Consider the following 24,479-nt stretch of genomic DNA (forward strand, 5'->3'; position numbering starts at 1 on the left):
TTGCCATTGGAATTAAATTTTCTAAAACATTAAAGAGCAAATATATCTCCATGGTTTTTAGTGTTGGTTATTTTTTTTGAAAGTGTTCATGTTTTTGTGAGCCAGTTAAAGCTCTTTCCTGCCTAGTAAACAAGTACTACAGAATCCTGATAAATTAGTTCCTGTGGGCCATTCCAGGTAAGGAGGACTTGTCCTTGGAGCACCAGGGGTGCTAAATGAGTAGTGACAGTGGTGGCATTTTTATAGCCTATTTTGATGTTGGTGGCTGCTATGTTAGAGTCATTTGAGCAAGCATAGGAAGAGCAGAGACAGTGGTGAAGAAGCTGAAGGAAAAGATGGTGATGCCAGCAATAACCTTTCCCTGGCCCTTTCCCTCCTTTTTGCTCCTAGACTTCAGACTTAGTCTGCCTTTTAGCCCTGTTTCCCAAGTTCCAGGCTTTGATTCTACATTTAGCTATGCTCACTCCTTTCTGGCTTCTCACTCCCAGCTGTTGGGATAGCAGACAGCCATTTCTCCCTCTCCTTCTCCTCCCTTCCTTCTATCCTCTGGCTAACTGACATGCTTCCTGTACTTAATATGTTAAATTGGTTATATTTTTATCAAGTTTACAATACTGTGGTATGATTAAATGCTATTTTAAAATTATTAGGTTTTTGCGATCTGTTTAATTCTTTTCAAATTTTGTCTTTTGACCCTTAGTTTTCTCTTATCATTTTGATATCCAGTCTTCCCCCTCTATACATTCATTCTTTTGATTGTGCATTAGTCAGATTTTTTGTTTGGTATTTGTTTTCTAGTTCATCTTTTTTTTAAAAAAATCGGTATGCACCTTATAAAATTTTTCTCTTGTATTCAAATAAGGTCATCACAATTAAAACGAATAGTAATTTCTTAATATCTCCTGTTGTCCAGTTTATTGTTCTCAATTTTCCTTAAGATGTTCTTCCTATCTAGTTTGCTCAAATGATAATCTGGTACAGGATCAGTCACATATTGTATCTGGCCATGTATTCCTTAAATTACTTTAAACTGGAGTAGACTTTTGTTTATGATGCTCATGTGGTGAATATAGTAGGCAAGCCCTCTTGTAGAAAGTTTTGTTTTCTGCACTTACCTGTTTCCTAGGGGTGCCTTAGCTCCTGAGTTTCCTGTTAACTAGAAGTTAGACTTGAAGTCATTACAGATTGATGTTGAACATCTTTGTGAAGAATATCATAGAAAAATAATGTCTGGTTGTCCCATCATTAAATAAGTTTGGCCAGTGACAACTTGATGGCCCCATTGTGTAACTGTTTTCCCCTTGTGCTGGAGAGAATTCTGTTTGGTGTCACTTTGTCACCATATATACGTCCAGTTACCTATCAACCTTGTACCTAATGGGTTTGAAACCAATTGATAATCTTTTGTTGAATCAGTTTCATTACAAACTGGAAAAAGATTATTTTCTAATCTCTCTTTCCTTCTATTAATACAGTAAACTAGTAACTAGAGCTTTCAACTGGGACTTGGTTTATCCTGGAATATAATTATTCCTGGAATTTTTCCCCTCAATTGCCATTTTTTTAAGTAAGAATTTGGATTAATAGATACCTCATAAGATGACCAGTGGGTTTTCTGTGGTCTCCTTTTTTGAATATCACTACGAACTCATGAATTTTCATGGGTTCATCATGTTTCAATCAATGTGATATTATTTTTGAGGCTCATATGATCACTTCTTTGATCTATGGGAATCCCTTGGTGCTGGTTCTTGTGTCCTTTTCACATGACCCTCTTAATCCTTGAGAGCTTGTTTTATGGTATGAAACATATCTTCTTTGTATCTTAACTTGTATCTTCTTTGCCCAGGCCCAGGATAAATCATTTCTCCAATGATCCCTTTTCTTTTTAGTGGGAGGTAGTATTAGAGATGAGGAAGTGCATGCAAAAGGTTTTTATAGCTGCTGAGTGAATTTGCTTCTCAGTGTAAGTTTCTAGACCTTGAAAATACAGGTCCAGAATTTATGGATTCAATATTTTCAAATCAATTTTCATTAATTTTCTTAATCTCTTTGATTTTATAGTTACCTTTCTTTTACAATGAAATGTTTGATTCCTAACAGTAATATAATTATTTACCTTTTTCTATCATATAAAAACTTTCAAAACAAATATGAGTATCATTACTACCTAAAACATTACTAAGTAAATTACTGACTGTAGTATAAGGTTTTTTGTAGTTTTCTGTGCACCAAATGATAGGGTAACGAATAGATGCTATCTTAGCGTCCTACGGCTGCCATAACAAATTACTGCACATTTGGTGGCTTACAATAACAGAAATGTGTTCTCTCATAGACCTGGAGACCAGAAGTCTGAAATCAGGCTGTTGACTGGGCCTTGTTCCCTCCCAAGGCCCTAAAGGAGATTTCTTCCTTTCCTCTCTTTCCTTCTGGTGTCTCTGGGCATTCTTTGGCTTGTGGCTGTGTAAATCCAATCTCTGCCTCCATCCTTACCTGGCCTTCTCCTCGTCTCTGTGTCTTTTCTTGTCTTTTATAAGAACAGTTACTGGATTTAGGGCCTACATGGATAATCTGAGATGATCACATCTTGAGATCCTTAACTTCATGGCATCTGCAAACACCCTTTTTTCCACAAATGGTTATACTCACTGGTGGTTGGGGGAGGAGGTTAGGACATGGCCATATCTTTTGGGGGCCACCATTCAACCCACTACAGACACTAAGATGTATAATGATTCACATAGTAAGGTTTTAATTTACATAATCAGGTTGGATATTGTTGGCCATTGGGGGTCAAATTCTACACAATCAGGGACCCAGGTGAGGCTATTTTCAACACACAGCTTCCCCTTCACCCTGGGAGTCATCTCTTTCCAGTCAAAGGGAGAAAGAACATGCAAATGCACACCTGGGAAGTCTGTGGGCCAGGCCTGGAATTGGCACATATCACCTGCACTCTTACTTGTTGACAAGGACCTGCAAAAAAGGATGAGAAACGGAGACTAGCTGAGCACCCACGGGGAGAAGAAAATGTTTGTTAAACAACGACTGCTAGTCTCTGCCACGATTACCAATTTTGATAGTCTTATAGTTCATTTGTTTTAGGTTGTATTCAGTATTAAAACTTGCCCTTATGTATTCATTAATTTATTCATTGACTAGGCATTTAGTTTTATAGGTGAGGGAAAGGAAAGAGTGAGGTGAGACATGGAGTGTGGATCTGAGTTTTCCTTATAAGTCAAGGAAAAGGCTCCAAATGGTTGGTAGTACCAATTTGTTTGTCCCGAGTTCCAGCAATGTACCAGACAAGAATTGGCTGTGGGACGAGGTTATTTTTCCCACACCTCAGAAGAAAAAGAAAGGCATTTTGTATCTTTGCTACTTTCTGCTTGAGATTTCGAAGGGACTCTTCATTTTCTTGAGCTCTCCAAACCTGAGAAAAGGCACTGAATTAATTGCTGTTGAAAAGAAGTCAAGTTTCTTTTCATTTCCTTCCTAAAAGCAGTTTCCTTTCCTTTAAGACTCACTCCAGGTCTCTGATTCTTTGATTCTGAAACACTGGAAAAGCAATCAAATAGCAGATGCCAACTCTTTGTATGTTGAGCTTTTGGAGTTTTGGAAAGTTGGGTCTGAACCTAGAAGTGAATTTACATTACGTCTTTCCTCTTCTAGAGGTTTCCTTTGGCCTATAGCTTTCACATGGGAGAGAAAAATGCTGGCCTACCCTACAGAGATTGGAGTCAGGGGAGAGAAAAAGGGAGAAAGGTAGTGAAAAGAGGAGAGGAAACAATTATCCCTTTTAAAACCATCCTTTTTGGTGGCTTGATAGAAATACTCTGTCAGAAATGCTGTTTGGTATTCGTTGCCAGAGCTAGACATCAAGGGCTTAGTCTCGTTTGAAATGTTTAGGCTTTAGAAGGAGCAAGATAAGTGGGGAAGGAAAAAAAAGAAAAGAAACTTTTAGGCTGTATTTTGCCAAAATGTATATCACAGTGCCTGCCTTCCTGCCTAGCAATACAAATGGAATTATAGATCCCCCACTCCCACCCCACCTTTTAAAAATGACTTAATTGCCTGAGCTGGCTTAGACTACGTGGTTGTCTTGTTTAAAGTAAAGTTTATCATATGAATGACTTTTATAAACTTGAGGACACTGAGGTTGATCTTTGACTATCTTTTAGAAAATCATTGCTAAGCAAATTAAAATGATTTATTAAGGCAGGTTAGCTAAGAATTTCTACCAAGTGATACAGATACTACCTTATGTCATTTTAACATTTGACTATTTAACTCATACTCTTTGTTTGTAGAAGGCTGTTGTTGCTCACCTTTCACACACAAACACACACACACACAGTCAAAGGGCTTTCTAGAAGTTGTACAGCAAGTGCTTGAGCTGAAACTAAAACTGAAGTCTACTGATGCCTGATTCTGAAAAATTTTATGTTTAAAAAAGTTTTTTGAGAAAACCACCATACAATTGTAGCTTCTCCACCATCAAGCAATTAAATAATTAACTTCACCTTGTGAAGCGTGATGTGCTAGATGCTAAGACCACCACGCTTCAGAAAATATTATGCTGAATGTTTCAAAACAAGGTTGAAAAAAGATACATACACTTAAAAGTAAACTGTAAAAGACTAAATATATAATGGAATGCTCTTAGCCCAGATACATACTGTTTCCTGGTTGCCTACAGTGTTCTTGATGAACTTTCAAGGAAAGAAAGAGTTTAAAAGAAGTCATTTTCTAAAGTCATTGAGGAAATTGAGGTGTCTACAGTCTTTATCCCTGCTGCAGTAGTAAAACAACATTTATTTAGGTAGCAGAAATACAAGGTAAGTTGGTTTAAATTTCTAATGATACTGTAGGTATTTGGGAGTACAGCAAGACTGGAGGAAAACTAATTAGAAATATGGTTTGGGTTTTGTAAGAAACAGCTATACATAGGGCAGAGACTGTGTATATCCTCCGTCAACATGGCGGATACTAGCTGTGGATGAGTCCAAGGCTTGTAGCAGCATCTTCAGGTACTAGAAATATCCTTATACAGATGTTTCTTACCGGTAAAACCACTGTTGGTTCTCTTCACAATCAATTGGACCACAGCCACTTAGTTATTGATATATGTACCCATATTTTCAGATAGAGTATAACTTCAAGTCAGTCTAAAACCCTATAAGATGAGCACATCTAACAGGTTAGGTGTGTGCTTATATATTTTTGTCCTCAGCAATGACCCATTTAGAGGGACCTCCTTTCTACTTTCCTTCTCTGCCTATCCTTAGATCCTATTTGAAAGTTTGGCTTAATGATTGATTTTGACCATGTGGGTCACAGATTGAAACTATTGTTTGCTTAATCATGGGATCTGAAGATGAAAAGAAAGAATGTGGGGCTAATTTGAAGGGGTGTTTGTGTTTATTATGCTAAATGTAAAATCAAGATGTAAGATCTTTTTTTTTTTCTTGAGACAGAGTGTCGGTCTGTCACCCAGGCTGGAGTACAGTGGCACGATGTCGGATCATTGCAACCTCCCCCTCCCAGGTTCAAGTGATTCTCCTGCCTCCTGCCTCCCGAGTAGCTGGGACTACAGCCGCCTGACACCACGCCCAGCTAATTTTTGTATATTTAGTAAAGACAGGGTTTCACCATGTTGGCCAGGCTGCTTTTGAACTCCTGACCTCAAGTGATCCCAGAGTGCTGGGATTACAGGCGTGAACTACTGTACCCAGCCTAAGATATAAGATCTAAGGGGAAGGCATACAGTGGGATCACTGGAGCCTGGGTTTAAGATGTAGGTCTTCATGTTATTAGCACATGTTGCTTTAGTTTTTATGTTTTAGAAGGAGAATATTTATATATCTAGGAGAATGGGATGTGGTTTAGGGGTGAGGGTGAGGTACAGAAGTTGGATCAAGCTAGTGAATTAAGCAAATATGAAATGACAGTGAAGTCGTATTAATGGTTTGTGGTATGGAGGTACATTTTTAGCCTGACTAAAAAATTGTGGTGCAATTACCATAATTTTTAATTCTTTAAATAGAATTATGAATGATATGTTTTTGAAATAGTAAAACTAAGGTTTATAGGATCCCTTGGAGTACTTTATTTCCTGCAAAAGTATTAATTGACAAAGATGAATATTTGGCTTGTCTCTGGTGCATTTCTTCTTCATTAGGGCAAGATAAACTTTTTCAAGAGAGTTGTGCTCAGTAACAAAGTAAATAAATAATATCTAAAATTACTTTGATATACTGTTTTTAATTATTTTTATTGAGGTCTAATTTATATACAATAATGTTCACCAGTTGTGTTTTCCAAAGTGGCTAGACCATTTTGCATTCCTACCAGCGATGTAATAGCGTCCCTGTTGCTCCAAATCCAATCAACCCTTGGTATTGTCAGTCCGTTAAAATTCTAGCCATTTTTATGGGCATATGGCAGTATCTTACTGTGGTTTTAATTTGCATTTCCCTAATGACTAATGATGTTGAGCATCTTTTTATGTGCCTGTTTGACATTTGTATATCTTTGTTGAAGGATCTGCTCTGTTCAAATCTTTTGCCTATTTTAATTTTTTTTCTTATTTTTTTTTTTTTTGAGATGGAGTCTTACTCTTTTGCCCAGGCTGGAGTGGAGTGGCATGATCTTGGCTCATTGCAACCTCCGTTTCCTGGGTTCAAGCGATTCTCCTGCCTCAGTCTCCCGAGTAGCTGGGATTACAGGCATGCACCACCATGCCCAGCTAATTTTCGTATTTTTAGTAGAGACAGGGTTTCACCACGTTGGCCAGGCTGGTCTCAAACTCCTGACCTCAAGTGATCCACCCGCCTTGGCCTCCCAAAGAGCTGGGATTACAGGTGTGAGCCACTGCGCCTGGCCTCTTTTGCCTATTTTTAAAAAGTGGGTTATTTGTCTTAGTGAGCTGCAGAAGTTTTAAACAATATTCTGGATACAAGTCTTTATCAAACAGATACTTTGCAAATATTTCATTAGTTTTTGTCTCACTTTTTAGTATTTATAATAGTATTTTCTGAAGAACAAAAGTTTTTCTGATTAAATTGAATTTATTTTTTAAGTGGCTCTTGCATTTTGTTTCCTAAGAAATTTTTTGTCTACCTTCAGGTCACAGAGATTATCTCTTATGTTTTCTTCTGGAAATTTTACAGTTTTGGTTCTTATGTTTTAGTCTATAATCTATTTTGATATGTGGGATGAGTTAAGGGTGGAGTTGTACTTTTTCCTCATCTGTCTATCTATCATCTGTCTGTCTATCCATCCATCCATGTATGCTTCTGTATTTATCTAACTTTACCTCCAACTGTTTCAGCACAATTTATTTAATAGACTGCTCTTTTTTTCATGAACTACCTTGGTATCTTTGAAAACCAATTGGCCATAAACGTGTGGGTCTATTTTTGTGTTCTCTATTCTGTTCTACTCATCTATATTTTTATCCTTACGCCAATATGTCTCTGGTTTGATTACTGTCTTGAAATCAGGTAGTGTCAATTCTCCAACTTTTTTTTTTTTTTTTTTTTTGCTAAATTATTTTGGCTATTCTAGTTCCTTTGCATTTTAATATAAATTTTAGAATCAGCTTGTCAGTTTCTAAGAAAAAAAAACCTTCCAGGAGTTTGGCAGAAGATGCACTGGCTCTGTAGATCAATTTCAGTAGAATTGACATTTATACAATATTGACTCTTCTGATCTATGAACATGGTACTCTATTGATTTAGGTGTTTTTAATATCTTGCAGGAATTTTTTGACATTTCTAGTAGTATACAGGTCTTACACATATTTTAAATTTATCTCTAAATGTCATGATTTTGGGTGCTATTTTAAGGGATATATTTTTAAAATGTTTCCAATTTTTTGTTCCTAGAGGAATATTGTTTTTGAACAACCTCCCACCACTTCATTTATGCCTTTGTAGAGAGAGATGGTTTATGTTATATCATCGTACTTACCAAAACCCAGTTTTATAATTAAACACTATTTTATGGCTTCTGTAATAGAAACAACTGCCTTGGATAAAAGTTGAAGTTGAGTGTTTTGAGCTTGGTTCTTATGTTTAAATCTGTGCCTAAATTAAATAAAAGCAAGTGGTAAGGGTAGGATGATTAAGATCTGATGAATTTCTCTTATTTTCAATTATTATGTTCACAAGCATGCTTTCTTTGCATGTATCAGACCCTTCGCACCACTTATTGATTTTAGTGGAAAGCAGCTTCTTTAGCTCCTCCCATGCTACTTGCTTTAAAGTTTCACTGACAATAAAACCGCCTCAGTGAATATTCCAGTTCAGTTTGATTCAGCTAGCACCTATTGAAGTTATGATAATTATACCCACAATTTGTACACTGTTTGAATTGAGGCCAATGGAGTTTCAGATAAGCCAATTAATTTAACTGTAGTCAGAAAAGCAATTCTTAAAATCGGAGCTTGTAATTTAAAAAAATTCTTGAGTAATTGAAAATATTAGTGCTCTTGAATTGCCTAATGGTTTCTACAAGAACTCTTAAGGCTTATTTTGTCTTTTTTTTTTTTTTTTTTCCTGATCAGATTTTGAACTCTGTTCTCTCCCAACCCCTAATGTTTTATTTGTATGATACATGACCATCTCTGGGGACTCTGAAAGATCATCTGTACTTTCTTTTTGTTTGAAAGGCATTCCTAAGTAAGAGGAGTAGGATTAAAGAAACCTACTCAATATTACGTATTAGAAAATGAGTTATAGGATGTTTTGGTCAGGAAAGACTCATTGAACTAGAATAAATTCTCGCTAGTCTAAATAAAAGAAAGCATTTGGAAAAGTCTCATCAGAGGTTATTTTCAGTCTGAGAGCTGTAATGGAACACTTGGAAAGTTGTCCTTTCCTCTTCAACTAGCAAAATGATTTCATATTCAGAGCTGAAGAATGTTTTGAGGCTCTCCAAGAAACTATGGCTGTGGAATGAATCTGTCGTGCTGATTTTCAAGTCCAGTCTAGCGCAGAAATGGCCAACTTTAAAAGTTGGGAACGGAGGAAAGAGGTACACAGTATTAATCATGCACGTTTTCACTATTCAAGACTCCTTGTTGTCTGTCCTGTATTCCTAACCTATTATTTGACATCCACTGTCGTTTGTTCTGACTTACCATTTAGATCCTTTGTGCAATTTTCATAAACTGGATTACTAGAACTCAGCTAAACCTCTTGAAGTTACTACCACATATCCCTCCTTTCTCTGCTTTTGTTCCCATGTTCCTGATCTGGAAAACTCCTCTGTCTCCTGCCTCTTATACTGTCCCAGGATATCTGTGCACTGCCTGCCTTCCAAAATTCAATTCAAAAGCCACTTTCTCCAGGGAGGTTCCTTTGATCATCTCAGTTGGGAAGAGCCTCACCTTTCTTTGAACTTTGAGAGGATCACATATGGCTCTTATCATATTCTACTTTGTATTACAACTATGTCTGTTGCATCTCAGAGATGAGATTTAATACTTTGCAATTGAATTTATTTCTTTTTGTGCTTTTTACAGTGTCTTCTGTAATGTGTTCTGGATAGGTGAAAGAGTAAAAAGCCTTTTTTAAAGTTTTCGTGTTAGTGCCTGGAAACAGGGGATCCAAACATGTTAGTAAGATTTAAAATGTTCAGAGGCAGGGGCTTGTTTAGCAAGATGTTTTCATCCAATAATGACCACTGGGATCCCTCTAAATAGTAGCCCAGCTGGCACTAGCTTCCTCTGGTAGTCATTATACAAATTAGAATCTCATCTGAACTTGCCTTCTTGGCCATCTATTATAGTCAGTAGGCAGAGACTTAATACTTTTTCATTTTCTGTCAATTGTCCTCTCCTATCTCACCATCCCCAACATGCTCATACGCATACTTTCTGTAGATGGGGAAGTCCGCCAGCTACTCTGAAATTTCAGAATTTTTATTTTGGGGGAAACAATGAGCATGCATTCTTTTGGGGACTTTGGTTCTCTCAGTTCTTTGGGAATCCAGGTCTATTTGTGTAAATCATTTTTTATTTGTATAAATGGTTAGCCCTGGGAGGGCAAGGTGTTAGGGCTTACCTCAGGCCCTCCTGTTTAGGGATGCTGATTGGTCTTGGCAACCCTCTCCCCTCTTCTAGCCCACCCTGCACCACGCAGGTGCACTGTTCTTGGCCTCTTCCGTGTTGGATAAATCATTTCTGTCCATATACAATATTATTGCAACATTTTATTTTCATCTTTTCCTCTCCCTGTTACTTGTGTCAGCATTATCTATTTTAGAGGGTAAAACCCTTGAGGATATGAATTATGTCTGTCAGCTTAACTCTGAAGAGTACTTAGCACTAAGCTAAATCTTACAAATTAGTACTTACTAATAGCAATAGTGCTGGTTGTAATATTGGCTCATTTAGAGACTGCAGTTTGCCTACTCAGCCTTTGGAAAGGATGCCCAACTACTTCCAGCTTCCAGGAAGAAAACATTCAAGTGTAGTGACATTATGTGAACAAAAACAACGCCCTTTAAATTGTTACTATCTAAAATGAATTATTTTAGGATCAAGATAATAAAACATTAATACTCACATAATGATGGTGACATCTAATTCATCCCTGAGGATGTTCAAGCAGTTTATGTAGCTCTGCTAATACACCACTGAAATAGAGCCAGTGACTGTGTGGCTATACCAAACGGGAGAGAAACTCAACAGTGTGTGCCCTGAGAGCCATTCATCCCCTGAGATTTCTATTTTCAGATGTCATGTTATAATTTCTTTCCTTAAGCCTCAGAATATGAAGGTATAAGATAAACTGGAATGGAATTCTTGTTTGATTGTGTATCCAAATGTGATTTATGGAGCGGAAATGCTTATAACATGCTTGTTCTGAGTCTAGCTCACACCAAATTAACCCCAATTAATTTCTCATGTAATTGGATAGAGAGGATGTAAAAGATCAGAAATGCTAAGCTAGATGAGTGGAATGTCCAAATTTCAAACCTTTACACAGAAAGGCTTTCAATGACAAACTCTATTAGATTTAAGTGGAGAAAGAGGAGGAGGACATGTAGGGAGAGGACGAACCAAAGAAACAGTTCAGCTTGTTAGAAAGAACTTAAGTCTGCCTGCCTGTGTCTAGTAGAAAAGGCTATGTTGTAGCATAGCTGATGAATTCTGTTTGCTGTGACTTACCTAATTAATTTACTACACCCCTGTCACAGCCCGTCACTTAGTTCTTTTCACAATGGTCTAGTTTCCCACCTTGGGTTGCAGTAGACTTGGTCATTAAGTGGAGTCCAATAAGTGTTTTGTTTTTTCCTTGTCTGCAAGGCAGGTATGTGTATAGGCAGCCTAACGTTCCAGGCAACCAGTAGGGAAAGAGGAAGCTAACATACGCCTTAGGGGATTGGGTTAATGAGGAAACGTATGGTTATGAAAGGCATTAGACGGCTTTAGATCTACGAGAGACACAGCTGCGGCTCATCAGCAAATGTTCTTTGGCTCTGACGTGAGCTTGACTAACTTATGTCTACTGAACCTGCTGGGGTACATCCTGTAGAGTGTGCTTATAGTCTCTTTGTTTACTTTTACATTTAAAAGTTACCCTTAATTTATGAAAGAAGTGACTTGTATGTGACATTTTTAAAAAGTTTAATTCTTTGAACATTGTTGAAGATCAACTGTGTGCCAAGTATTCTTTTACATACTGGGACTCAATGAAGAATAGAACATGTTTCCACCCTTTAAAAAATGTTTATACTATTAAATTCAAGATGAGCATGCTTATTATAGTGTAGTAAAATGAACAAGCATCAGAAAAAGTCAGAAAACTGTGTTTGAACAACAGAAACATTGGGAAAATACATCAGAGACCTTACACATACACACACACACACACAGTATATGATTTCAGGTAAGTCATTTAATCTTTAAGCCTCAGTTCCCTCATCTGCAAAATGGAGATAATATCTACTTGCCAGATATAGAAGCTTGAGTGAGCTAAGAGGTCTAAAGAATGTGATAAACTGTGAAGTATCACTGAAAGATAAGTTAAAAATCAGAGAAACAAAAAGTACTGCCCCACATGAAAAGTTAATTGTATTTGAAATATCTCACTAAAAGATATTTGAAGAATCATCTACATGATGGATTGCACGTAGCTGCTAAAGGCAAGGAGTTACGAATTACATTACTTCTAAATTAACCAGTTCAGGGAAGAGGAAGAGGAGGATTAAAATTCATTATCTGGAATATTTTATATGAGGTTTTTTTTTTTTGTTTGTTTGTTTTTTGAGATGGAGACTCTGTCGCCCAGACTGGACTGCAGTGGCATGATCTCAGTTCACTGCAAGCCCCACCTCCTGGGTTCAAGTAATCCTCCTGTCTCAGCCTCCCAAGTAGCTGGGATTACAGGCACGCGCCACCACGCCTGACTAATTTTTGTATTTTTAGTAGAGGTGGGGTTTCACCACGTTGGCCAGGCTGGTCTCAATCTCCTGACCACAGGTGATCCACCTGCCTCAGCCTCCCAAAGTGCTGGGATTACAGGCGTGAGCCACTGCACCCAGCTGTATTTTTATGAGTTCTTAAATAAAACTCATATAAAACTTTCATGGGAACCATGAAAGAAGGAGAGAGGGAGAGGGAGAAGAGAAAAGAAAACTCGGCCTACATCCAGGGACCCAAATAAAAGTGTTATGGAGGAAGAATACAAAGCCCCAACTGTTTTTGTAAAACTTGGGGTTGCCTGTCTAATATCTAAAGGAACCACTGTTTGAGTTATAAATTCAGCACCTGATTTGCCAAACCTTTTCTCTCTGTTTCAATGTGGCCAATTTGAACAACAGAAACATTGGGAAAATACATAAGAAAATTTCAGCACCTTGCCAAACACATTTATTTTGAAGGACTTCAGATGGATTATGGGCATCCTATTTATTTGAATTAATATATTTTTCCCTCTAAATATTAGAATTTTAGATATTGTATTAAAAGTCGAAACTGCTTTGGTTGGCAGTCTTCCATTACCCACACTTTTAAAACTGCTTCATATCCCATGTTATTTTCAGGACCTCGTTGCCTGCTTGCTTGACATCAATGATATAAGTACCTTTATTAAGTTACCAACTTGAGTTGCACTGTGTAGAAATGTTATTCTTTAGTCATGATGAGCTATCAAAATGAATTGAAAAGGCACCTCCAAAGTCTTGGTGATCTTGCTCCTTTTGATAGTTACCACCCCTCCATTGAGATTCCCAGCTTTTCTGTTCATTTTGATCCTCTTGCAAAAAGCACTCAAAATTGGCAGCTTCCATGACTCCATCTTCTAGAGGGTGGGTGGAATCAAGAGTGAACTTCAGAACCTTCTTTTTCTGTCTTCCTTCTCCCCATTTGCCACAAGCTTTTTCACGGGTTCCATGGCAGCAGTGGAGGTAGAAAGAGGAGATGGGCAGACTATGCCAAGGCAAATGGCCCCACCTGAGTTTTCTTAGAAGTGGATGCAATGTGGACCAACTGTGTTTTAAAGCATGAGGCTTCCTTATTTTCTCTTTCTTAATACATCAGTAAGCTGCTCAAACAAATGAAGAATATGTGGAATACAACGACAAATGCTAAATAAGCATATTTGAAAAAGTGTGAGTTTATTACATGTAGACCTTGTTCATAATTTCAAGTCCTAAGGAAATATAGTCCAGTCAACAGGACCAGCAAATGTATGTATTTGAGTAAGCCTTCTGAGTCGCCACAGTCCCAAATAGGAAATGAAAAAAAGCTGCCTTTACTGACTGTCAAAGATAGGGCTCACTAAATGAGTGAATGCTACTGCGTTACATGTGCTACTCCACCAAATTTTATTATTGTAAAAATAAAATTGAGCCCAGGAGTTCAATACCAGCCTGGGCAACATGGTGAGACCTTGTCTTTAGAAAATTAGCTGGGCGTGGTTGCCTGCACCTATAGATCCAACTTCTTAGGAGGTGGAATTAGGAGGATTGCTTGAACCTGGGAAGTCGAGGCTGCAGTGAGCTGTGATTGTGCCACTGCATTCCAGCCTGGGTGACAGAGTGAGACTCTCTCAAAAAAATTTTTTTTGAATAATTGGAATTATATTATTTAAAAGGATAATATTTATTTATATTCTGATATGTGTTTGGCATCAGCTGTTGTCATACATGAGGTTGGAAATAATGACTGGCTTCTAGATAGCTCATCAGTTCATTTTTCTGAGCTTCTTGTGATTATTTTAGCCCTCAGCTGGACTACTGCTAAATCCCCATGGCAATAGGATCCCCTCTGATTCCTTGGTGAGGTGATGGTGATTTAAAAAAAGTAGTTTATACACAGACACAGTGATGGCACTAGAGATGTTGAATAGTTGTGATTACTTAGAAATTGCTCTCGAGATAGAACATTTGAAGGAATAATTAGAAAAAGTGTGCTGTTCTTTTTTTAAAAGCAGCTTGATTGAGATAGAGTTCATATACTACAAAATTCACCCTGATTATTTTTAAATAAAGGGAAAATATTAATAGGTGTCCTACTACAAACCATTCCCCCTATTTTCAAGGATAAACAATAACAAATATAGATTTTAAATAATAAGATTATCTCATAGGTGGGAATTGAACAATGAGATCACATGGACACAGGAAGGGGAATATCACACTCTGGGGACTGTGGTGGGGTGGGGGGAGGGGGGAGGGATAGCATTGGGAGATATACCTAATGCTAGATGACGAGTTAGTGGGTGCAGCGCACCAGCATGGCACACGTATACATATGTAACTAACCTGCACAATGTGCACATGTACCCTAAAACTTAAAGTATAATTAAAAATTAATAATAATAATAAGATTATCTTTTCAGTATTATTACAGTGGCCTTTAGCATTTTAAAATCTACAAGCAAGCAAGGCTTCAGTGGACCATGCAGAATGTTGTGGTTCCCTGTGTTGGAGAAATACAAGTTTCTATGGGATAAACAAATGCATGCACATGCTGGCCAATTGTCAGAGTGAAATACCAAAAAATTCCGTTGTGGAGTAAGTGATAATCAGATTATAAAGAATTAAAGTAAGAAAATACCTTTTGGGTTGTACGTAGAAAAGAACATGATAAAGATTATCCTCATTTCTTTTTTTCTTTTCTTTTCTTTTTTTTGTTTTAGACAGGGTCTCGCTCTGTTACCCAGGCTGGAGTGCAGTGGCACGATCAGGGCTCACTGCAGCCTTAACCTCCCAGGCTCAGGTGGTTCTTCCACCTCAGTCTCCTGGATAGCTGGGACTACAGGCATGTGCCACCACACCCAGCTAATTTTTTGTATTTTTTGTAGAGATGGGGTTTCACCATGTTACCCAGGCTTGTCCTCATTTCTTGATGAATCTTTATTTTTCCTTTAGAGCTGATTTAAACTTTTTTTTGTGAGAAATATAGCATCTATATAGAAAAGGTAGTTAAGCCCGAGAACCAGCATAGTAAGTAGTATAAAGCCAGCACCTTTGTAACTGCTACTCAGATCAAGAAATAGAACTGCTGGCCTCTTAGGAATGTGCCATATTTCCCCCTTTGATTATGACTTTCCCCACTTCAGTCCTCCAACCATGACTTTCAGGCTGATCATCTCCAAGTACGCATATATACACACAATATAAAACCATATATCTATATGTATAGTGTTACCCCTTGAGTGTGTATCTGTAACCATTAAAGTTTAATGTCACCTATTTTATAAGTGTGAAGAAATGAAATCAGGTGTTCTTCTTGGCTCAGCATCAGGTTTGTGAGATCCATTCATAGGAGCATGCAGTACATGGCTTGTTTTCATTGTAATCTAGTATACCATTGTATGAACGTAAATATAAGTACTGGTTCATTTTATGGTTTGTGGACATGTGGCTTCTACCCAGGTTTTTACTGTTGCCTGTTCTGCTTTGGACATTAGGGTCTATAAAACCTGATACACGTGGCATGAATTTTTCAAAGTATGGTTCCTCTTTTGGCAGCATTAGCATAAAACGTGTTAGAAATGTTGATTCTTGGGCCCCACCTCTGACCTACATTCAGATATCACCTTGGACTGTATATTGTGTATGTTTATGCTTATTCCAGTGACTGCCTTTGCTCAGGATACTTTTGGATCTTCCAGGTTGGAATCCATTCATGTCGGCACACACATGTGTACCCATGCAAACATAACACTCCCACATTCCAGCAATTGACTCGTTGCTCATATTTGAAAAAAATTAGCTTTATCAGTTTGAGTCAAATCTTTTGTTATTTTCAAAGATAAAATAAATATCCAAAAGAGAAAGATTTGCCAACATTGAAGATATTCAAAAGAATATGCAAAAGATTGAAGACCTGCTGAAGGAGGACCTGAAACAGGTTGGGCAAAACACCATTCCTAGAATGGAAGCTGCAGGGCCCTACAGAGAAAGCAGTACTGACTCTGGAGTTGAGCAGATGTGGGTTCAAACCCACATGTACATGTGACCAGCAGTGTCATCAAAGAGAGTTCTGCATTTCTCTGAGCTTCAGTTTTCCTCCTATGCAAAGAGGGGATCACATCTACTACCAAGATGCAAAACAGTTAGTACAAAATGACTGCTCGCAGGGCCACATTTATACTGTGGATGCATTTTGGTCATATTTTGGTAACATAATCTGATGTGGCTGACTGTGTCATGGCTTCATACCTTTCATGCTTTGGACTTTTGTGCTTTCTGCAGGAACGATTCCAGGTGAAGAATCCTCCCCATACATACATTCAAAAGCTCAAAGGCTATCTGGATCCAGCTGTAACCAGGAAGGTAAGATGGATTTGTTTCCACTCTTTGTTATTGCTTCCTTATTAGCGAGCAGAATCCTCCTGCATTGGAAGAGACCTTCCTTCCTCTGCATTAGAGCCTCTGCCAGAGCCTCCACAAAAAACAACCTTGGGAGACCAACAACGTAAGAAGACAAAGGAAAAAAAACAACCTTCTCACTTGAAGATGTGTATAAAAGTTCTTTCCTGACATGAGAGTCACGTACCTCTGATGGTTGTTGAGTCACTGCTATTTCCAATTACGTAGGGCAGTGAGTGCATTCCAGAGGTATTCAGGCCCCTAGAAGAGCAGGCTTTGCAAAGGGAATACTTGCCTTTCAGTTTTTTATGCCTTGGTGCATTTCCAGAGACCTTGAAAAATCACTGGGCCTTTGTCATCCCAGCTGTGCACTCACATCCTGTGTTGATGCTTTTAGCAGCTCCCCCCTACTCCCCCCAACCCCTGCCCCTGGCCTGAGAAGGTAAGTAGAGAATAGCTGATTCCATTCTCAACAGACTCTCCCCTTTTACAAACAAGCCCTGCTTTGTGCAGCCACACAATTGGTTTAAACTGATGCCTCGTGGTAAAGCATGTAGCCTGGCACGGCCCTGTGGGCCTGAATCAGTCCTGGGATGTCTCAGGGCAGAGCTGTCCTTGCTCAAGATGGGTGAAGGGGTGCTTTACCAGATAGCATTTGTTTTTCCATTGACCTACAACTCCTGCTTTTAAGGCTCCTGCGAAAATCTCTCAGGCTGATTCTCTCTGTTGTTTCAGTGTGTGATTCTTGAGAAAAGAATGGTATACTTTACCTAGTTAGCCATTTTCAGGGCTCTTGATGCTTGCATTAAAAAAAAAATCTTTTTCTTTATCTTCTACTCTAACTCTTCCTCCCCTCACCGCCCACCCCCCGACCAAAAAAAAAAAAAAAAAAAAGTCCAGCAAAGGAGAACAGCTATTATTTCCTTTTGGAAGTTTCCTAGGCCTTTCTCTTACGGTTAATATGTAGACAAGGGGAAATAAAATCTAGTAGTGATGATGACAGTGTAGTGCAGAACTTCATCACTGGCTGTATGTCATATGTGACTTGAATGTGACACAACCTTCAATCCAGGAACGTACCTGTCAAAGTATCATGATACTTCTCCCCTCGTAAATGTGGCACACACATTTCTTTCTAAAAGACCTGTTGTCAGGTCTTACACCTGCAAATGAGACTATTGTTCAGTTCTTGTTAACTTCTCTCATTTCTCCCTTTCCCTAAGAATGTGGCAGTCTTAATTTCATCATTTAAAGAGGTCTGTAAAGGAGGATACACCCAGGCCTGGCACAGTGGCTCACGTCTGTAATCCCAGCACTTTGGGAAGCTAAGGTGGGTGGATCACCTGAGGTCAGGAGTTCAAGACCAACATGGTGAAACCCTGTCTCTACTAAAACTACAAAAATGAGCCAGGCATGGTGGCAGGCACCTGTAATCCCAGCTACTCGGGAGGCTGAGGTAGGAGAATCGCTTGAACCCAGGAGGCGGAGGTTGCAGTGAGCTGAGATTGTGCCATTGCACTCCAGCCTGGGCAAAAAGAGCAAAAAACTGTGTCTCAAAAAGAAAAATAAATAAATAAATACAGACACACCCATATACACAAAATACATCCCCAGACAGGTGTTTTTCTGCACTATTTCTTTGCAAAGGGACAGCAAGATTCTGTTTTAGAATCGATTTCTAAAGGTTTTCTGAAATCTCCAAACTTGTAACCTTCAGGCTAGATGGCTCAGACCTCAGCATTGAGTCCTAATGCTCACCCTGAGTTGAGTGTGGCAGAGATGCTGATGTTTATACAGAAGACTGAGACCTTTCCTCATGCAGAATTCATCCTACCTCCAAAAAATTCCTTCCACATTTTTCCAGTTCTGAATAGAAAGGAAAAAATATGCACACTCCTAGGGAGTGCTGCTTAGGCCCCCACTTCCATACCCCACATGGAGGAAGATGCTTAGAAGGAAGAGGTGGGCTTCCTCCTGGCACAGTTCCAATTTTCCTTTAGATCAGCTGTTTCTGGGTTTAGGCAAAGAGAACAAAGTGAAACAAAACAACAGATAAGCTTCCCAGAAAATGTTTTGCTTCCTCACAAATAATAAACTGGAGCAGGACATAAGATGTCTGTTTGGGCCTTCATTCCCGACATTTCTGCCCTGGCCCATGTGCGTTCACCTGAATGGCCATGTTTGGTCTGTGCTTCATCTTTCAAGATCAGTCATTCAGCTCAGAAAAAATAAAATGGATGGTGGATTAACCACCCCTGCTTTAGTAAGATTCTGTCAGGAGCTGGCAGGAGGAAATGATCTGTTCCACACAACATAATTGTAATGCTTAAAGCCTGGAAAAAAAGGAGATTTGTTGAAATAAGACATGGCTTGCAGTTAAAATGAGCTTAAAATTCTCAGCTGTATTATGGTGGGGGAGAAAAAGATTTCAATTCGGGGCTTTAAATTTCAGCCAGACAGTCTAGGTTGGGCAGTTTTCCTTTAACTGTGTCTGGAGTCCTCGAATACTTGATTCGTTAATCTTTTGTGCAAATTGAATAGAAGATACTTAATTTGCTTTTTTTAAAAAAAAATTTTAAGCATTTTCTATTTAGATTTTCTTCTAAATAGTTTTAAATGAAACCTCTCGGGCAGAAAAGGAAGAGCCTAAATTAGATATCTCTATGAACAGAACTCTCCAAACCAGCCTCCTTATTTAATACCAGGAAGTGATTAGTCTGTGTTTAAAGGATTCTGGTCCTTTGCTGGCGCTGCAGTTGTGAGATGAAACCTATTGTAGGGCTCATCCTGGGCTCAGCTGCCTCTGGGGGCTCATCCCAGGCCTCCCTTGATGGGGAGGGAAGGGAGAATAGTACAGACTGCTCATGGATCCTCTGTGGCTCCCCATGGGCACATAATTTCTTTTCATAGTGTTTTGCATTCTGGATAGATTTTAGAAGTGCAAAGTGTTAGCACTCATTGTGTATATATTAGAGAAGTGGACTCCAAGACTTCTCTGTGGCCCAGAATCTAGCCGAAAATTGAGCCGTTCCTTAGATAATGTAATACAGGAGTAAAGTCAGTTTAGTTTGCCTCCGTTATCAGGCAGTTGCAGAAGGGTAGTGCCTAGGTAGCATAGTCAGTGCCCAAAAACAGCGCTGCTGCTGTTATTATTACCTCATCGTGTTTTGATTTAGTTACCTGGTTTCGATACATAGCTCTTAGTCCTTCAGTGGACCCTCTTTTATACTCTGCTATGTCCTCAGTGCTACGCTGGGTGCCCTTGTGCCTGATGGCATACGTAAGGGATGACCTTGCCCCGAGGAAGCAGAAGGCGGCATTAGGGGCTGGGTGTTAGTTCCTTTGTGTTGCTATAAAGAAATACTTAAGGCTAGGTAATTTATGAGGAAAACAGGTTTATTTTGGCCTACAGTTCTTTAGGCTGTACAGGAAGTGTGGTGCTGGCATTTGCTTCTAGTGAGGGCCTCGGGGTTTACAATCATGGCGGAAGGCTAAGGGGGAGCGGGTGTGTCACATGGTGAGCAAGAGGGAGGAGGTACCAGCCTCTCTTAAACAGCCAGATCTCACAGGAACTCTTAGGAGTAAGAAGCCACTTATTATCACGAGGACAGCACCAAGCAGTTCAGGCGCTATCTGCCCCCATGACCCAAATACCTCCCACTAGGCCCACCTCCAACATTGGAGGTCCTATTTCAACGTGGGATTTGGAAGGGACAAATATCCAAAGTATATCAGGGGCCCAGCAGAAGCAAAGGCTGCAGGGAATGAGTCAGAAGTGCACATAACACAGAGCTTGGAAGGCTGAGTTATTTTCTGACAACCACCTGTGCAGGCAGCCCGAGACTTAGGACTCTGACACGGGAGTGGCCACACTGAGCAGCCAGCATATCTGGAAATGGTTGCCTTAGCTGTGTGACCAGAGACCCTAGAATTTTTTGTCTCCTTTCTCTTCCCTTCTCTATATACACAGCAGACTGCCTGCTCCATTCTACTGACTCTCCTCTACTCTATTCCTAATTTTTAGCTCCAAGGAAGAGTTTAAAGAGAGAGAATACCTTTAGCTGCCCATCCTGCATTACTTGCCCCCATTCTTTTTTTTTTTTTTTTTGAGATGGAGTCTCGCTCTGTCACCCCGGATGGAGTGCAGTGGCCCGATTTCGGCTTGCTGCAACCGCTGCCTCCCAGGTGCAAACAGTTCTCGTGCCTCAGCTTCCTGAGTAGCTGGGATTACAGGCTTGTGCTACCATGCCTAATTTTTGTACTTTTTAGTAGTGACAGAGTTTCTCCATGTTGGCCAAGCTGGTCCTGAACTCCTGACCTCAGGTGATCCACCCACCTTGGCCTCTCAAAGTGCTGGGATTACAGGCGTGAGCCACTGAGCTTGGCCATTACTCCCTTTTCAAGCCAAGTACTGTGCCGAGCCTCCTCATTGCTGGGAAGTGGTCTAGGGAGCTCTGGGGTTGGGTGTCCTCCAAACTCTCAAGTATGCCACCATTTGTTAGGCCTGTTTCGACAGAAGAGGGGAGTGCCTCTCTTTTTTCCATCACATTGGGGACATTTTTATTTCCTACTTCTTACTATACCTGGATTCTGGAAACCTGACATGGTCTTTTTAGATTGTCTTGGGAATGGCATTTATGGAGGAACTGTGAGACCATCTGCTTCCTTGGGGGCTCTGCTTAGAAGCAGCTGGTGGGGAAGCCAGGGGCTTTCAGAAGAAGATGACAGGGTAACAGGAGCCTGCTGTGCTGAGCCGTGCTTCAGGCCTTCATGGGCCACCAAGTCCCAGGTGTGGGCGTAGCTCTTGCCACCCCACATTCTGGAATCCTTACTTCCATCCTCCTTCCTTTTCTTCTTGTCCTTGGAGCTGAAGGACTCTGTGTCTGCTGCAATTGTGGCAGCAGAGGAGAGAGGTCCTTTATATCCTGAGCCAGAATTCTCAAAGCTCTTTCCTGTAAACAGTGTGACATAAAGGTGGTTCAGGTTCGTAGCACAGATAGTCTGGAACTCCGCTTAGGAGGCGCTGACATCAAGTTTTCTTCCTTCAAAGTGGCCTGAGACTGTCACTTTATATTTCTGTAGGAAAATGTGTTCCAAAGGACTGATGTGCAATGTAGCCCATTGATATCTTGGAAATGATTTAGGGTCAAGAGGCTAGAGAGGTGTATATTAACACATTTACTATCAGAGGTGGATTCAGTGAAGAAAGAAGCCCCGAGGGATTCCTGGAAGGGTAGGTGGGATTTTAACAGGCAAGGGAATGAGGAAGGGCAGTTCATGTCAGGAGGGTGGTGTGCTCTGGAGGAAGGACCCTCTAAGTGAGGAATAAGGGGCAGAGGTAGCTCTGCATGCTTATTTTTGCAACGTGTTAGGTCACGCAGAAAAAAAATTAACATAGCAGGCCTGAGACTGCTATGCTTAGCAAAGGGCCTGCCTGCAAGGTTGGCCCTTGGCTGGCATCTAGGAACTTGTGTTTGACGGGGGAAAGTTCCTACCATTTCCTGATAAGACTGTTTCGCTGTGCCTAAACAGTTTATGAAAACAATACGGCTTATGCTGAATGCCTCTTTTCCCTCTGGGAGTCTGAATTTGTGTAATGTACTAGGCAGAGAGTTGCCTATTAAACCAGCTCCCAATAAGAACCTGGCCACTGAGTCTCTAATGAGCTTTATGCATGTTGTCATTTGTGTCTCCTCGGGGAGAGGACTCCTGGAAGATTGCACCTGGTTTCCTGCACGTTTTATCCTATGCACCTTTTCTCTTTGCTGATCTTGCTTTGTATTCTTTTACTGTAATACATCATAGCCACGGGTATGACTGTATGCTGAGTCCTTTGAGTGCTCCTAATGAATCATTGAAACTGGAGGTAGTACTGGGGTCCCTGACCCATAGGAATATTGGTGAATACTGTTGTGTGTGTGGGGTAGGGAAATAAAATCTACTTACTGAAAGGCACATTACATAAAACAAGGACTTTTTGTAGTCCTTTCTCAGTAGTTAATTTTCATGGTGAGGAAAATTTGTGTGCTCTGCAACAAAAAAAGTGAGGGAAGCCCATTTTAGAAGTGAAGATATTTTTCATATTGTGTTAAATTTATTATAACTAAGCTTCAGTTATAGCAGTTGCTAAAATATTTTGTGAGAATATGTGTTCTTGAATTATAGAAATTCAGACGGCGTGTTCAAGAATCTACACAAGTGCTAAGAGAACTGGAAATTTCTTTGAGAACTAACCACATTGGGTAAGTATACCCCTTTAACATCTTAGCTCTAAAGCTTTTGGACACTTTACAAAGTAACTGAATCATACCCAAAGAATTGAGCTTCCTTATGGGCCATTATAAATTAAAAGACTGAGGTTTTAGTAGATGAAACCTTGTTAGTACTCAAATTACTTACTGCCCAAGAATCAGCAGAAGCAAGACAGATAGTCCTTGATGTGGAATTTATAACAATTCTATATTTCTTTGAGCGGGTGCAGTAAATATGGACACTTGGTTTCATGTGTGCATAACAATTCTCTGGCAAATCAGAAACCCCCAATAGTGCATGTAGACTGAGATCTTGGAAAATCTCTAAGCTTTTACTGTAGTTCTCCAAGTTGGTTGGTTGAAGCTGCTTTATTTCCCTTTCGTTAATTCTCTAGAGTTTCTGGCCAGAAGGGGACGGAAGCTGGAATAATGTCACTTGACTCACCTCATTGCACTCAGACACATTCTCAGTCTCTTTTTCATACATCTCAAAACCTCAGGACCATGAAGTGTAAATCCACTGTGGGAAAATAAAGTTCAGGGAATCTATGCACTAAGCATTCTGAGTTTCTTTCAGACAATGACATGGTGCTTTGCCTCAGGCAAGAACAGCAATATTATATTCTCCCTTACCCCTGGGTGGCCTAATTGTACTATGTCTTAAAACAAGATGGCTTCTCTCTAAGGTAGAATGATATCAGGTATCCTATTTTGTAGCCCTCCTTCTGCCCAAAGCACCTGCGTAACATTGGGCAAGCTATTTAACCCCTTTGGTTTTGATTCTTTGAGCTTTACAATGAGAGGACTATCGACTTTTAGATCTTTTAGAATTTTCCCATGACATTCTTTGCAAGTCTATTGGAAATTAATTTTGATGTATATATATTGCACTTTAGTTTTACAGAGTATGCTGTAACATACAGTAAGTTCTGTCTCGTTGATAGTTCTTCTTGAAAACCATGAGTTTAAGTGAAATAATGTTGTTATAAAACCTTTTCCCCCCCTCATCAATGTCATAATGAAATAATGTTATTTGAGGTTAAGTAAGGACTTGATGTGGATTTATTATGTAGATAAAAGTTTACTTCAGACTGCTGTAAGCCATTCAAATGGTTAATTAGCATAGTTATTTCAAAATAAACTTTTAGAAACTGTAGAAATGCTATTGTGATTGATAGGTGATGGAACTTGGGTAAGAATGTGCATTTCTTAAATGATAACCAGCAGGTTTTTCACCTTGAGAATGAAATATTCAGAAAATGAATTAATTCTAGACTTTGTCCCTGGAAATGGGCTATAGAACAAAGAATCATAGAGTCATGATTTTAGAACTGGAAGAGAAATTAAGAATTGCCTGATGCCTACTTTTACAGATTAAAAGAATTAAAGACC

General features: G+C 39.5%; 1 protein-coding gene across 13 annotated transcripts in view; it reads left to right on the forward strand.

Moving 5' to 3' along the window:
* The window catches only part of FMNL2 (formin like 2), a 314,653-nt gene that overhangs the window by 190,846 nt on the left and 99,328 nt on the right, over positions 1–24,479 (forward strand). For all 13 annotated transcript variants that reach the window (XR_241279.5, XM_011510531.2, XM_011510533.4 and 10 more), the window contains exons 3-4: positions 16,720–16,800; positions 23,002–23,078. Coding sequence is in view for 12 of the 13 variants with exons in the window: in XM_011510531.2 (XP_011508833.1) it covers positions 16,720–16,800; positions 23,002–23,078 (158 nt within the window). In the remaining variant the exon portion in view is untranslated. The remainder of the gene's footprint in view (positions 1–16,719; positions 16,801–23,001; positions 23,079–24,479) is intronic.

The sequence above is a fragment of the Homo sapiens genome, chromosome 2 (assembly GCF_000001405.40).
Source record: "Homo sapiens chromosome 2, GRCh38.p14 Primary Assembly".
NCBI classification, from domain to species: domain Eukaryota; kingdom Metazoa; phylum Chordata; class Mammalia; order Primates; family Hominidae; genus Homo; species Homo sapiens.